Raw genomic sequence first — 12,513 nt, 5'->3', positions numbered from 1 at the left:
TAATGTTCTTGGGTCATAACCATTACAAAAATCTCAAAACCCTCTGTATCTTGATCCATTATAACCACATTTGGTGTTTCAGACAAGCCTCAAAGCCAGGCTTAATTTTTCCTTTCTAAGTAACCTGTTTTGGTTGCCTTTTTGTTGTGCTTTGTTTTGCTTATTCTGTATTAATAAGACTTATTTATTGGTATATACAATTTATTTTTCAATGTTATTGCCTGCTGATATTTTATCATACAAAAGTAAATGGCATAAAAAAAGTAATTGTTTACAGCTTCCTGAGTAAGACGTTTTCATTTAGGTGTGTCTTTTTTTTCCCATAGAGAAATGAACTATTGCTTATGGGTGGAGAAATGTCAAATACCTTTGCTGAAATTCTTAACTTGCCTTTGTATCTTCACCCTTGGCATTGAAAATTATCCAAAATAAATTGCTAGGAAATCTGCTAAATTATCTCTAAGGGAGTGCCTAAAAGTAGCCGCAATCTACTCTCTTTTGCAATACCTCTGAATAGAATGGAATTAAATTCTGTCTGATGACTTAGGAAAATAGACAAGTAGTCTTCATATTGCTTATCTGTAGTATGGAGAGAGTAAGGAATATGTTCCTTTTGTACTTGGTAAAGAGCAGTATCTTCAGAAACACGCAGCTTACAATTTAATGCATAGAAGTTGCCAAAGCTGTTACAAACTTGTTAAGGTAATTTGTATCACCTTACTTTATTAGTTACCTATTGCTATATAACAATTATCTCAAGGCTTGGGGCTTAATACACTAAGATTAATTATCTCGTGGTTTCTGTAACTCAGGCATCTAGCTGAGTCCTATACTTTAAAATTCCTCAGAGCATTGGGACACATCATCCTAAGGACTCAAACATGAGAAAATATTTTCAAATTTGCCTCAGGTGAAAAATGAGTGCAGTAAATACACTAAGGACACATACGTATATTTTTTCTTGTCTCAATTAACTTTTAAAATAATGTTTGCCTTTCGTCTGTCTTTATTGCTTTATACAGTGAATAATAGCGAATCTAGCAGTCAGAAAAGCACTCTTTGTTTTTTTGTTTATTTTATGAAGTCTTCTTTTAATTTTATTTCTTAATTTTTTATTTATTTAGTAGTTTTTTTGGGGGGTACAGGTGGTTTCTGGTTACGTGGATAAGTTCTTTAGTGGTGATTTCTGGGATTTTTGTGCACCCATCACCCGAGCAGTGTACACTGTACCCAATATATAGTGTTTTATCCCACACCCCCTCCCACTCTTCCTCTGTGAGTCCCCAAAGTCCATTATATTATTCAGATGCCTTTGCATTCTCACAGTTTAGCTCCCACTTATAAGTGAGAACATACTATATTTGGCTTTCCATTCCTGAGTCACCTAACTTAGAATAATGGCCTCCAGCCCCATCCAAGTTGCTGCAAAAGACACTATTTTATTCCTTTTTATGGCTGAGTAGTATTCCATGGTGTATATATATACATATATATATATATGTATATATATACCACATTTTCTTTATCCACTCATTGGTCAATGGGCACTTAGGTTGGTTCCATATTTTTGCAACTGTGAATTAAGAAGAGTGTCCTTTGAATATTCTCCTAGTGCCAACATTAAAAAAACAGAAAAACCATAGAATAAATTATAGGAATATACTTTTCTGAAAATGTCTATATTGTCTTGAATTTTCAGGAAGACTATCTCTGAAATATTATACTTAAACTAGCTACCCATACTCCTAATATTATTGCGAGCTGAATATAATACCTAATAATTCCTTACATAATAAAGACTGGTCTTAATTATATCAAAAAAAAATCTGAAAATAATGCTATTTGTTGACCTAGAAATAGCTATGTTAAAAATCTTAACTGAGTGTATTTAATACTGTACTATTTTCCATATAGTTACAATAAATTCCTTGCTCTTTCTCTCTTTGGCTACTTTTTTGAAATAGACTAAGATGCTTGGTGAAGCAGCTGGAAAGAGGTGATGTTAACGTCGTCGACTTAAAGAAGAATATTGAATATGCGGCATCTGTGCTGGAAGCAGTTTATATCGATGAAACAAGGTAAGTTTTAACCTTCTTCTCTTTTATCTTCTTTGATTCTCTCCCGTTTTTCTTCCTCTTTCTTGACCCTCCTTTATCTCAAACAGGAATTTAGCATATCTTCCTGTGAAACCAAAATCAAATCTTATTAAAATTTGAAATGTTCTTCTTCATGTAGCTAATTAACTGGACTATGATTCTCTAAAATTAATACACATTTTAATCCAAATGTTTGAATGTCATAAGATAGTCAAACACTAAAGTGAAAAAAAAATCTCCTCTTCCCCCATCCTCAGTCTCCTTGGGCTCAGACTTTTAAATGTCAGAGTTACGTGTAGGCTTATACTGGTTTTCACTGATGTAAGGATTTTCCCTATTATCTCAAATGTCAGAGTCCCTTTAGGAAAATGGGTGTTATATGCCCACACATTCTCATGAGATGTGTCTAACAGGCCCTCTATGCAGGGATTGCTAAGGGGCATCCCAAATGTGTGTTTTTGATCATCCAAACCTAGCCTCATAATTAGCAGTTGTAAGGAGATTAGGAAAGGGGGACTTATTTGAAGAGGGTTGCCAGCTTAGTGCTGTGACCCTCAAAGAGGCTGTTCACCCCCTGGAGGATATTTGGCAAATCCAGGAGATGTGACCAGTGTCTCTTGGTGTTCAAAGATATCTGGTTCCTAATTCTCTTCTCAAAAAGGATAAAAGTGACAGGCTAATCAGGGCTACCTGTGAATTCAGAGCTAAGAGGGAACCTGTGGGGAGAGAGGCATGCATTTCCAGCATTTGACATGGAAAAGGTGCTAATTTTTTTCACAGCCATAAAGCAGGTAGAATAGAGGTCTCTTAAAGCACCAAAGACTACTTAAGTCAAATAGTGAAAAAGAGGCTGCATAGAGTAAGTGATGGTATAAGAGCCAGGGTAGGAATTATAAAAATTCAGCTAAAATAGTAGAAAATATATATATTCAAAGTACTCTCTTGGTGTTAGCAAGTTGTCTCTGAAGGACCCACAAATGGTCCCCAGGAGAAAAAAAATAGGCAGCATTTGGGCATTTGTCACATAGATGACAGCAAAACCACCAGTCTAGCCAGACCCTTTGGTCCTATAATTTCCTGCCTCTCGCACCGCATTGCTAAACAACCAGAAGCAGCAGTGAGTGGGAATATGGAGGTGAGGACACCCACTAGGCCCCTTCCACTCAGCAGGAGTCCATGCCTGTCCCAGGCCTAAGCTTGGGGAAGATGAGCAATGTTAAACTGGATGGGCAACTAAATAACATTGGTTTTTATTTACCTATGTGTACTGGACTTCACAGGCACGCAGATACACACACACACACACACACACACACACACACACACATTGTTTAATAAGTAAAAAATTCACATGATGAAATTCTTGCCTCTACCCTGGTCACAGTCTACTCTGTTTCTCATAAATTTCTTATACATCTTTCCAGTGATTTATTACATATTTTTATTTTGTATTTTTGCCTCATCCTTTCATGGAAGGTAGTATACTACGTAAACAGTCTCTCATTCTTCTTTTTTCACTGAAAAAGGAAACTTAAAAGTTTCCTTTTATTTTATTCTGATTTTTTAAATATTTGACAATGAGAATTTTTACTAATAGCTGGCAGAAGAGGCCATATTGAGAGCTTTGTTGCACAAGCGATTCTTTCTTTGTCTGCAGAGTGAAACTCCTCTACTAAAGCATAGCTTGGAGAAATTATTTGAGGAAAAGGAAACAGGCTGGGCACAGTGGCTAACACCTATAATCCTAGCATTTTGGGAGGCTGAAGTGGGCGGATCACTTTTGAGCCCAGGAGTTCACAACCAGCCTGTGCAACATAGCAAAACCTCATCTCTACAAGAAAACACAAAAATTAGCCAGGCATTGTGGCGTGTGTCTGTAGTCCCAGCTATTTGGGAGGCTGAGGTGGGAGGATCACTTGAGCCAGGGAGGCCGAGGTTGCAGTGAGCTGAGATTGTGCCACTGCACTCCAATCTGGGTGACAGAGTGAGATCATGTCAATAGATAAATGAATAAAAGAAGGAAAGAAGAAATAAAAAAAGAAGAAAGAAAGAGAGAAAGAAAAAGAAAGAAAGAAGGAAAGAGAAAAAAAGAAAAAGGAAAGAAAGGGAAAGAAAGAAGAGAAAGAAAGAAAGGAAAAGAGAAAGAAAGAAAGGAGAAAGAAAGAAATTATTTTCTTGGTGAATGTTCACTGAATGTGTATGAATGTACATGATTCTTCTAAGTAAACAGAATCCAAAGTGCAAATTTTAAAAATATCTGATGTTTTTCCCTTGCTCCCTCATTTTTATGTGTGCTCTTATTGTTCACAAGATGATTCAACTTAACAGGTTTAAGATTTATTCAATCTGTCCTTGAACAGATATTTTCTTTTCTATTTATCTATAAAACTTTAGAACCAAAGAACGATTTGAAGATTTCGTTATTCATCTTCTAATGGCATAATGCTAACTACCTGGTTTGCCTAAGTGTCCTGTCTGTCATTTAATAGATTATTATATGCTTTATTTATTTATTCATTTTTCTGGTGCATTTCCTTTCCCTGAGAAGTATGACTCCATGGATATTTGCTAACTTAGTTCCCTATGATCCCTAACTCATTTAAATGTATATTATACCTAAAGTATAGCCCTTTTTCATTTGAAAATTGCTCTTTTGCGGGGAAAAGAGGTTGAGCACAACGCTGCCCTGCTTCGTGGTAGAAATTCATTTATTTTTTTCCTTCACATAACAAAACATTCCATCTTTTAACACCACATTATTCCTAATATTTACTCCAAATTTTTATTATTTTATTATAATGCTTCCATGGCATCATGAGTTTTAAATTGGATTAATAATAATACCCCACATTTGTATCATCTTCAAAGGGCTCTTAGTTTCATTATCTCACATTAGTGTCACCACAATCCTATGTGATTGGCAGGATGATTATTACTTTCTGCATTTTACTAATGAGATAATTAAAGCTCTTAGAAGGGAAACGGTTTGACACAGGTCATGGATGGAAGTGTTGGCAAAACTGGGACTAAAACCTAACCCATGACTTCTTATTTAGTACTCCTTCCTCTATACCTGACTCTTCTCAGAGTATTCCTATAAAACAGAATGGTTTTTAGTGACCTCTGAAAGATTTAGATGACAACATATAAAACATTTTGATAGCTGGAATTGTAAATCCTGTAGCTAACACGTATTAAGGGCCCACTATATGCTAAAAAATCTTCTAAGCATTTTATATATACCATTTTATTTAAACATCATAAAAGTCCTATGAAATAGAAACTCTATTATTACCAGATTGTATATGAGAAAACTTAAATCACAGAAAAGTTACATAGCTTACCAAAGGGAAGACAGGGAGTTGAAGAGTTGGATTAGGGCCTTGGCAGTCTGACCCTAGGGCTTGGGCTATGAAGTGCAATTCTCATCCTCATCCCTTTTCTAACATTTGATGAAAAGGTGACTTCAGAGACACTGAAGTTTGATGAAAGTGCACAGGTTGTCAGGATCATCAGCCCCAGTGGTGTACTGATTGTGTGGCATCTCTTTCCAATTCTGCCTTCAGTAGTTTCATGTGGCTAGCTTGAAAATGGCTACCGTGGGAGTATCCACACCCATGAAAAATAACATGCTACAAATCAGAATTTATTTTTTTCTGGAGAGTCTGTTGTTAAACATTTACCATCATACCACAGGTCAGACCTAAGATTACCTCTTACAAATCTCCTAAGAGCTGCGATTTCATGATCAAAATATCAGCTTAAGATTTTTTAGAACAATAATAATTTATGTGGTTGATTTTCTATATACTTAGTAAGATACACAGCAGTAAACTGAGGATGTTTCTGTTGAGATGTCCATACAATTATTAAAGTACCATTTCCCTTAAAACTATCAGTAAAACAGAGATTATGTAAAAGGAGTCAGGTCCAAGAAGCATTTAGTTGCTTTTAAACTTTAAAAACCTTTTGACTTCTGAAATGTTTTTTGATAGAAAATTCGATGCCGTGAGTATTCCAGAGAGGTATTGTTTGAATGTTGAGCTGGACTGAAAGAAAAAAGTCAGCACAAAATAAAGCAATGTAAAACACAAATTATTAATTGGTTTAAAACACACACACATACAGAGCCTTAATGATTGCAGAATTTCAGTTAAGAAAGCAATCAAAACAAAAATCTCCCTTTAAAGATGATTTTGGTGAGAAAAATAAAAAGTTTCTGAATTCTGACTCTTAGTGGAGATAATAGCACAATACCCTAATGAATATGACTGCTGGATTTTTTAAAAGACATTTTCAAATGCAAATGCCAATCCTTTATGAGTCTTGTGTTCAGAACTGTCTCTAGAGGCTATTGTTTTTCAAACTTACAAAGTTTTAATCCAGAAACATGTAGCCTAAAAAAATATGTTCGATTGTCCTTATTTGGATTGGGATATTGCCAAGCAAAGTAGCATTTTTGGCCTCATGCATAGCAGGGCAGGCAGCTGCCTGAGAGATATACTTTCAAGATCGGTATTGTGCTTACTAATACCTCCTAAAAACACAATTTATAACTTTCTTTGTTTAACATGAACCAATCTGTCTCATAATTTCGATGATTAGCGCTTAGACTCTGGATTCAGAAAGAGTAGGTTGTTCAAAGTCTGGATTCTCTACTTAATACTCTTTCTTTAAGGAAGTTACTTTACATCCCTGGCTTTATCATCTACAAAATAAGAGTAAGGACAATGTTCACTTCGTAAAGTTGATATGAGAATTAAATGTGTAACAATGCCTAAGAGTAAAATTTAAATAATAACAAGATATTTCTATTTTAAATAAAATTCTTATTTATTACGTATGAGTAAAATGCAAATAACTCTGGGATACATAACACATGAAGCTATATGATTTACATATTCTAATAAAGGTAACAAATGCTTCCCTGAGAGCAGTTTTTAATCCTGAGAAAATGAAAACGGGTACTGGTCACCAAGGAATGAAAGCATAAAATTATGGAAAAGAGTGCCTTTCCCTTAATACAGAGTCACATTATCTCTGTAAAAACATCAGTTGACTTTTGCGTCTTGCTAAATCTAGGGATCCTTAATTTGGGGTTAGATACTGCATTGATGTCAATCAGTACTTTGAGAAGTTAGTCTGGTAGAAAGAAATTGAGCGTCATTTAGGGTACATTAGAGGCTAAGATCCTTGAAATTACTGAGTAGAGGGACTTTCCAAGGAATCTTCACTCATTTAACAAATACCTGTTGAGTACCTGAAATGAATACCAGACACACTGGTAATCAGAATCAGGAGCAAAATTGTGCAGGCAGCTGGTGGCTAGAACTGGGTCTAGAATTGTGAAGACAAACCTAGGCACAAGAACAAATGCTCAAACAAGAAACAGAGAGATTTAGAGAGAGACCCAAGCAACAGTGACAGATTACAAGGAGGAAACACCAAGTATCAACAGTAACTGATAACCAGAGGGAGTAACATGGGGTAAGAATGGGGTAAGAATTTATACAGAGTCAGACTTCCAAACCAGATATGTCTAGACTTCTAGACTTGCAGGCATTTTTGAGTATTAATGAGTTTGTTCTCTGGCAAAGCTCTCCCTGCCTATTCTTAAAGACATGGCTTCTAACAAGAGGACTAAAGGTAAAATATGTCTGGAATATGCTAGATATATGTGCATGGAAGCTCAGAAATATAGTGCCATTTAGAGATATGAATTATAACTCAAGGGTCTCAGAATTTTTAAATACCTTTACTTTGATGCTAACGTTCAATAGTTGGAGCTCCTTTACTGTTTGAATATGTTCTCCATCCTAAAGTTCTTGAGAATGGTCAGTGAATGTTTACTTATTTCACCAGTCTGTCCTGGCTGTCACTTTCCTTTGCAGCCAGCTCTCTGGCTTCAGACTGATGAATTGTTCCTTTGCATTTTTTTCTTCTTACCTATTTTTTTCCTCAAGTCCAGCTGTGTATAGCCAGGATCCCAAGCATGAGTTCAATCCCTTCCTCCTGTTCTCCAAACTGAAGCTAAAATCAGCTATAATTGCAATAAGGCATTAGTGATAGATGCTTACTTTTTTCTTTTTTCTTTTTTTCTTTTCTTTTTTTTTTCGAGATGGAGTCTCATACTGTCGCCTAGGCTGGAGTGCAGTGGCACAATCTCGGCTCACTGCAAGCTCCACCTCCCGGGTTCATGCCATTCTCCTGCCTCAGCCTCCCGCGTAGCTGGGACTACAGGTGCCTGCCACCACACCCAGCTAATTTTTTTGTCTTTTTACTAGAGATGGGGTTTCACCGTGTTAGCCAGGGTGGTCTCGATCTCCTGACCTCGTGATCTGCCCGCCTCGGCCCCCCAAAGTGCTGGGATTACAGGCGTGAGCCACCGCGCCCAGCTGATAGATGCTTTCAAAAATCTACAACTTAAGCCCTTTCATAGAGGTCCCTTATCAAGCATCTTGGTGCATCCTCTAATGCCTGATGCCCATGTCACAGAGACCTTCCACTACAGAAGTCCTTTTGACATGTCTTGCTGTCCTGAGTTCAGGACCTCAAGTTCTGTGACTAAAATAAAGATAGGGGCCAATCAAAATTAATGTCATTCATCTCTAAGGATCAACCCCTATGTTAAAAGACTGTGCAGTCTAAATTCACATTTAGAAAAAACATGACAGTTTTCTAAAGGACACAGAACCTGAGAGTGATGCAGCTGTGCTCATGGTGAAGACAAGCTTGAGCATTACTTTCTGGAGATGTTTAGCCTCTTGGAATCCCATTGTCTCAGTCTTCTAAATGCCAAAGGAGAGCCCTTACTTTTTTTAGTGTAACTAAAAGACCTATTCAAAGTATTTTTTATAAAACAAAAGAATTAGTCTGCACTGAAGGTAAAATAAAGCCTATCTATGTAGACTAAACCAATTTTTTGACTTTTCAAATGTCAAAGTTTTTTCACTTTCAACTATTAAGGTTTAAAAAACGCTTGGAATTCCATATCAAAATGGGCTACCATGTTATCCCACTAATTTAAATCAAGGGAGGGGATAAAATTGGAGGTGTGGAACAGGAGGGTAGTTAAAGACAGGCAGGTAGTTAAGGAAAACTTGAGTATTTAAGGCAAGGCATGGAGCTACCAAAGAGGAGACTAGAAAGAATAGACACCAAAGCAACAGGCATATATGACAAATATGAATTGCCCAATTAACAGAAAGCAGGGTTACTGAAAAGGGTAAATCAAATGCCACAGGGTGAACCACTGGATGAGTTGGGAGATTCCTAATGCCCTGAAGTAGAGTTTCAGCAAAGAGAAAAAGCTACCAGCCAGAAGATGATACTATGAGGAATTAATGTGGAATGGCTTCGTGAAGAAATTAGTATAGACTATTTTTCCAGAATTTGCTCGAGTACAAAAAACAGAGATAGACCAATCTACTGATTTGGACATATACTTGAGGAATCCTTTTTGTATGTTTTTGTTCACATTGTTTTTAGGATGAAAGGTTGGTATCTGTAGCCCAGAAACGAAAAGTTTAAAAAACGTATTTAGCATGACAAGAAAAAAAAATGCTTCCTAGAAAGATTAGGTCAAGAAGTCATCCTTTTATGGCTGCATAGTATTCCATGGTGTATATGTGCCACATTTTCTTAATCCAGTCTATCATTGCTGGACATTTGGGTTGGTTCCAAGTCTTTGCTATTGTGAATAATGCCACAATAAACATACGTGTGCATGTGTCTTTATAGCAGCATGATTTATAGTCCTTTGGATATATACCCAGTAATGGGATGGCTGGGTCAAATGGTATTTCTAGTTCTAGATCCCTGAGGAATCGCCACACTGACTTATACTATGCAGCCATAAAAAATGATGAGTTCATGTCCTTTGTAGGGACATGGATGAAATTGGAAACCATCATTCTCAGTAAACTATCGCAAGAACAAAAAACCAAACACCGCATATTCTCACTCATAGGTGGGAATTGAACAATGAGATCACATGGACACAGGAAGGGGAATATCACACTCTGGGGACTGTGGTGGGGTTGGGGGAGGGGGGAGGGATAGCATGGGGAGATATACCTAATGCTAGATGACGAGTTAGTGGGTGCAGCGCACCAGCATGGCACATGTATACATATGTAACTAACCTGCACAATGTGCACATGTACCCTAAAACTTAAAGTATAATAAAAAAAAAAGAAAGAAAAATAAAAGAAAAATAAACAAGAAAAAAAAAAAAAAAAAAAAGAAGTCATCCTTGGGAAGTTATCTAGGAAGAGAGAAATAGCCAAACATTGGTTGAAAATGTTGATGTGGCCAGGTGCGGTGGCTCACGCATGTAATCCCAGCACTTTGGGAGGCCGAGGCGGGTGGATCATTAGGTCAGCAGATCACAAGGTCAGGAGTTCAAGACCAGCCTGGCCAATATGGTGAAACTCCCTCTCTACTAAAAATACAAAAATTAGCTAGGTGCGCTAGTGCACACCTGTAGTCCCAGCTACTTGGGAGGGTGAGGCAGGAGAATCGCTTGAACTCAGGAGGCAGAGGTTGCAGTGAGCTGAGACCATGCCACTGCACTCCAGCCTGGGTGACAGAGCAAGACTCTGTCTCAAAAAAAAAAAAAAAAGAAAAGAAAGAAAGAAAAGAAAAAGTGTAGATGAACTTGGAGTTAACTAGTGCACAGCCAAGGGTCTTCAAGTAAGCAAAACATGAGTAGCATTGTAAAATCCGAAAGACTCACTGGTATTTCATTTTAAACTCAGCTGCTTAGCATGGGTAAATGCGCTGCAAGAGTTATGGCTAACGTATGAATAATGAGCTGCTAAACTTGGGGAATGATGTGGAGGGCAAACTCTTTATGTTTAATCACTACAACCTGCACATCATGATGGCACTCACTCATGTGTGCTCCTTTGGCATTTAGAGTCAGAATAAGAGAGAGGAAAAAGAGAAATAGATTGGGCTAATGAACGGCTTTTATTAATATTTCAATTGTAAGTGATAGGAAACCCAACCAAGCCAGTTTAAACAAACAAATGATTAACTTATTGGCTTTCATGGCCAAAATATTGATGGCTAGTGGTGACTATAAACACAGGTTGATCTAGGGCACAAATGATGTCTGTCAGCAGGTCCACCTCTGTTTTGCTTGCTCTGGAATGGCTCTTTTGATGTTTTATCTGGTAGCAAGATGGTGACAGTATTTCCAAGCTTCACATCCTCACACCATCAAATCCAACAGGAATGAGAAAAGTTTTCTTTCCCATAGGATCCGATAAGCATATCCTTATGTTTCATTGGCTCTAGTTAGGTAACATATTTATCCCTCAACCAGTCATTGTGTCCAGGGGAGTTGAATATACAAGGTCAGTCGTCAAGCATCCCATGAGAAAGATAGGTGGTCAACTCTATTTAAGTCATACGCTTAAGAACTGAGAATGGAGGAAAGTGCTTTCTCAAACCACAACTGTGTTGTCTCTGCAGTGAAAACTAAAATGTTTCTGTTAGTGTCACAAGCAGGGGACCTGGATCGGGGTTTGTGTGGGATGTGGTGGAAAGCCCTTGATTGGCAGTTCAGCAACTCCTTTCTTGGCTTTGCTCCTACTAATGATTAGTCTCTAATCATTGTTTTTTTCACGTGGAAGATAAAGTCTCCAGTCCCTTTTTGTTCTGGAATTGTGTGATTTTATCCATGGTTCCAAAGTCCCCCTGTAAAGACTTGCTCATGACTCAATTACTCTGACTACCAGGAGGGTGACAGGAGGAAACTGCTTATCATTTGCTTAGCATTTATAAGTATGGGCTCTTGTATTCTTCAAATTATTTCCATTTGGAAAAGTCCCTGAGGAAATCAGTTTGAGGAAAATGTGCTAAGACGTTGCTGGAACTCAGTGAATCATTAAAAATCAAGTAATGATTTTTCTGAATTCCATTTTTGTGGTGTGAGTTGTGGGGAGGGGTGGCTGTTTGGAGTGTTGTGTTTGTAGGCTGTTCTCACCCTGTAGGTGGAGTGTGAAAATCACTTAGAAAAAGTTGCAGTACTTTTTGGTTGGTTTTCCTATTTTCTGTCCATCTGTGGTGTGTTACTTTCTACAAACTTTCAAAAACAGCCTCACTCCTGAAAAGGGGGAAAAAAACCTGACCAGATCTTTTGAGAAATGACTAACAAAAAAGCTCTATGTGTTGAATAAGATCTGACTATTAGTGATGTTTTGATTCAGTGTAATATAAATGAATATTTGCTGCATTTTAAAAAGATGTTTTAAATATTATTCTTTTCCAATAATAATAATAATGAAAATCATTTGACAGTTACATCCAAGGCAACATATTATTCAATTTGCATATATGATTTCATATAATTCTCAAAAATGCCTATAAATTAGATACTTATATTCTTTCTACTATAAAGTTAAAAAAT

General features: G+C 37.1%; 1 protein-coding gene across 22 annotated transcripts in view; it reads left to right on the top strand.

Annotated features, from left to right (window-relative positions):
* PDE1A (phosphodiesterase 1A) overlaps window positions 1–12,513 on the top strand; it is a 576,757-nt gene that overhangs the window by 450,419 nt on the left and 113,825 nt on the right. For all 22 annotated transcript variants that reach the window (XR_007076388.1, XM_047444688.1, NM_001395258.2 and 19 more), the window contains one exon: window positions 1,965–2,078. Coding sequence is in view for 20 of the 22 variants with exons in the window: in XM_047444688.1 (XP_047300644.1) it covers window positions 1,965–2,078 (114 nt within the window). In the remaining 2 variants the exon portion in view is untranslated. The remainder of the gene's footprint in view (window positions 1–1,964; window positions 2,079–12,513) is intronic.

The sequence above is a fragment of the Homo sapiens genome, chromosome 2 (genome assembly GCF_000001405.40).
Source record: "Homo sapiens chromosome 2, GRCh38.p14 Primary Assembly".
Classification (NCBI taxonomy): Eukaryota; Metazoa; Chordata; class Mammalia; order Primates; family Hominidae; genus Homo; species Homo sapiens.
The sequence above is the reverse complement of the archived record's forward strand: the minus strand, read 5'-3'. Positions and strand labels throughout refer to the sequence as shown.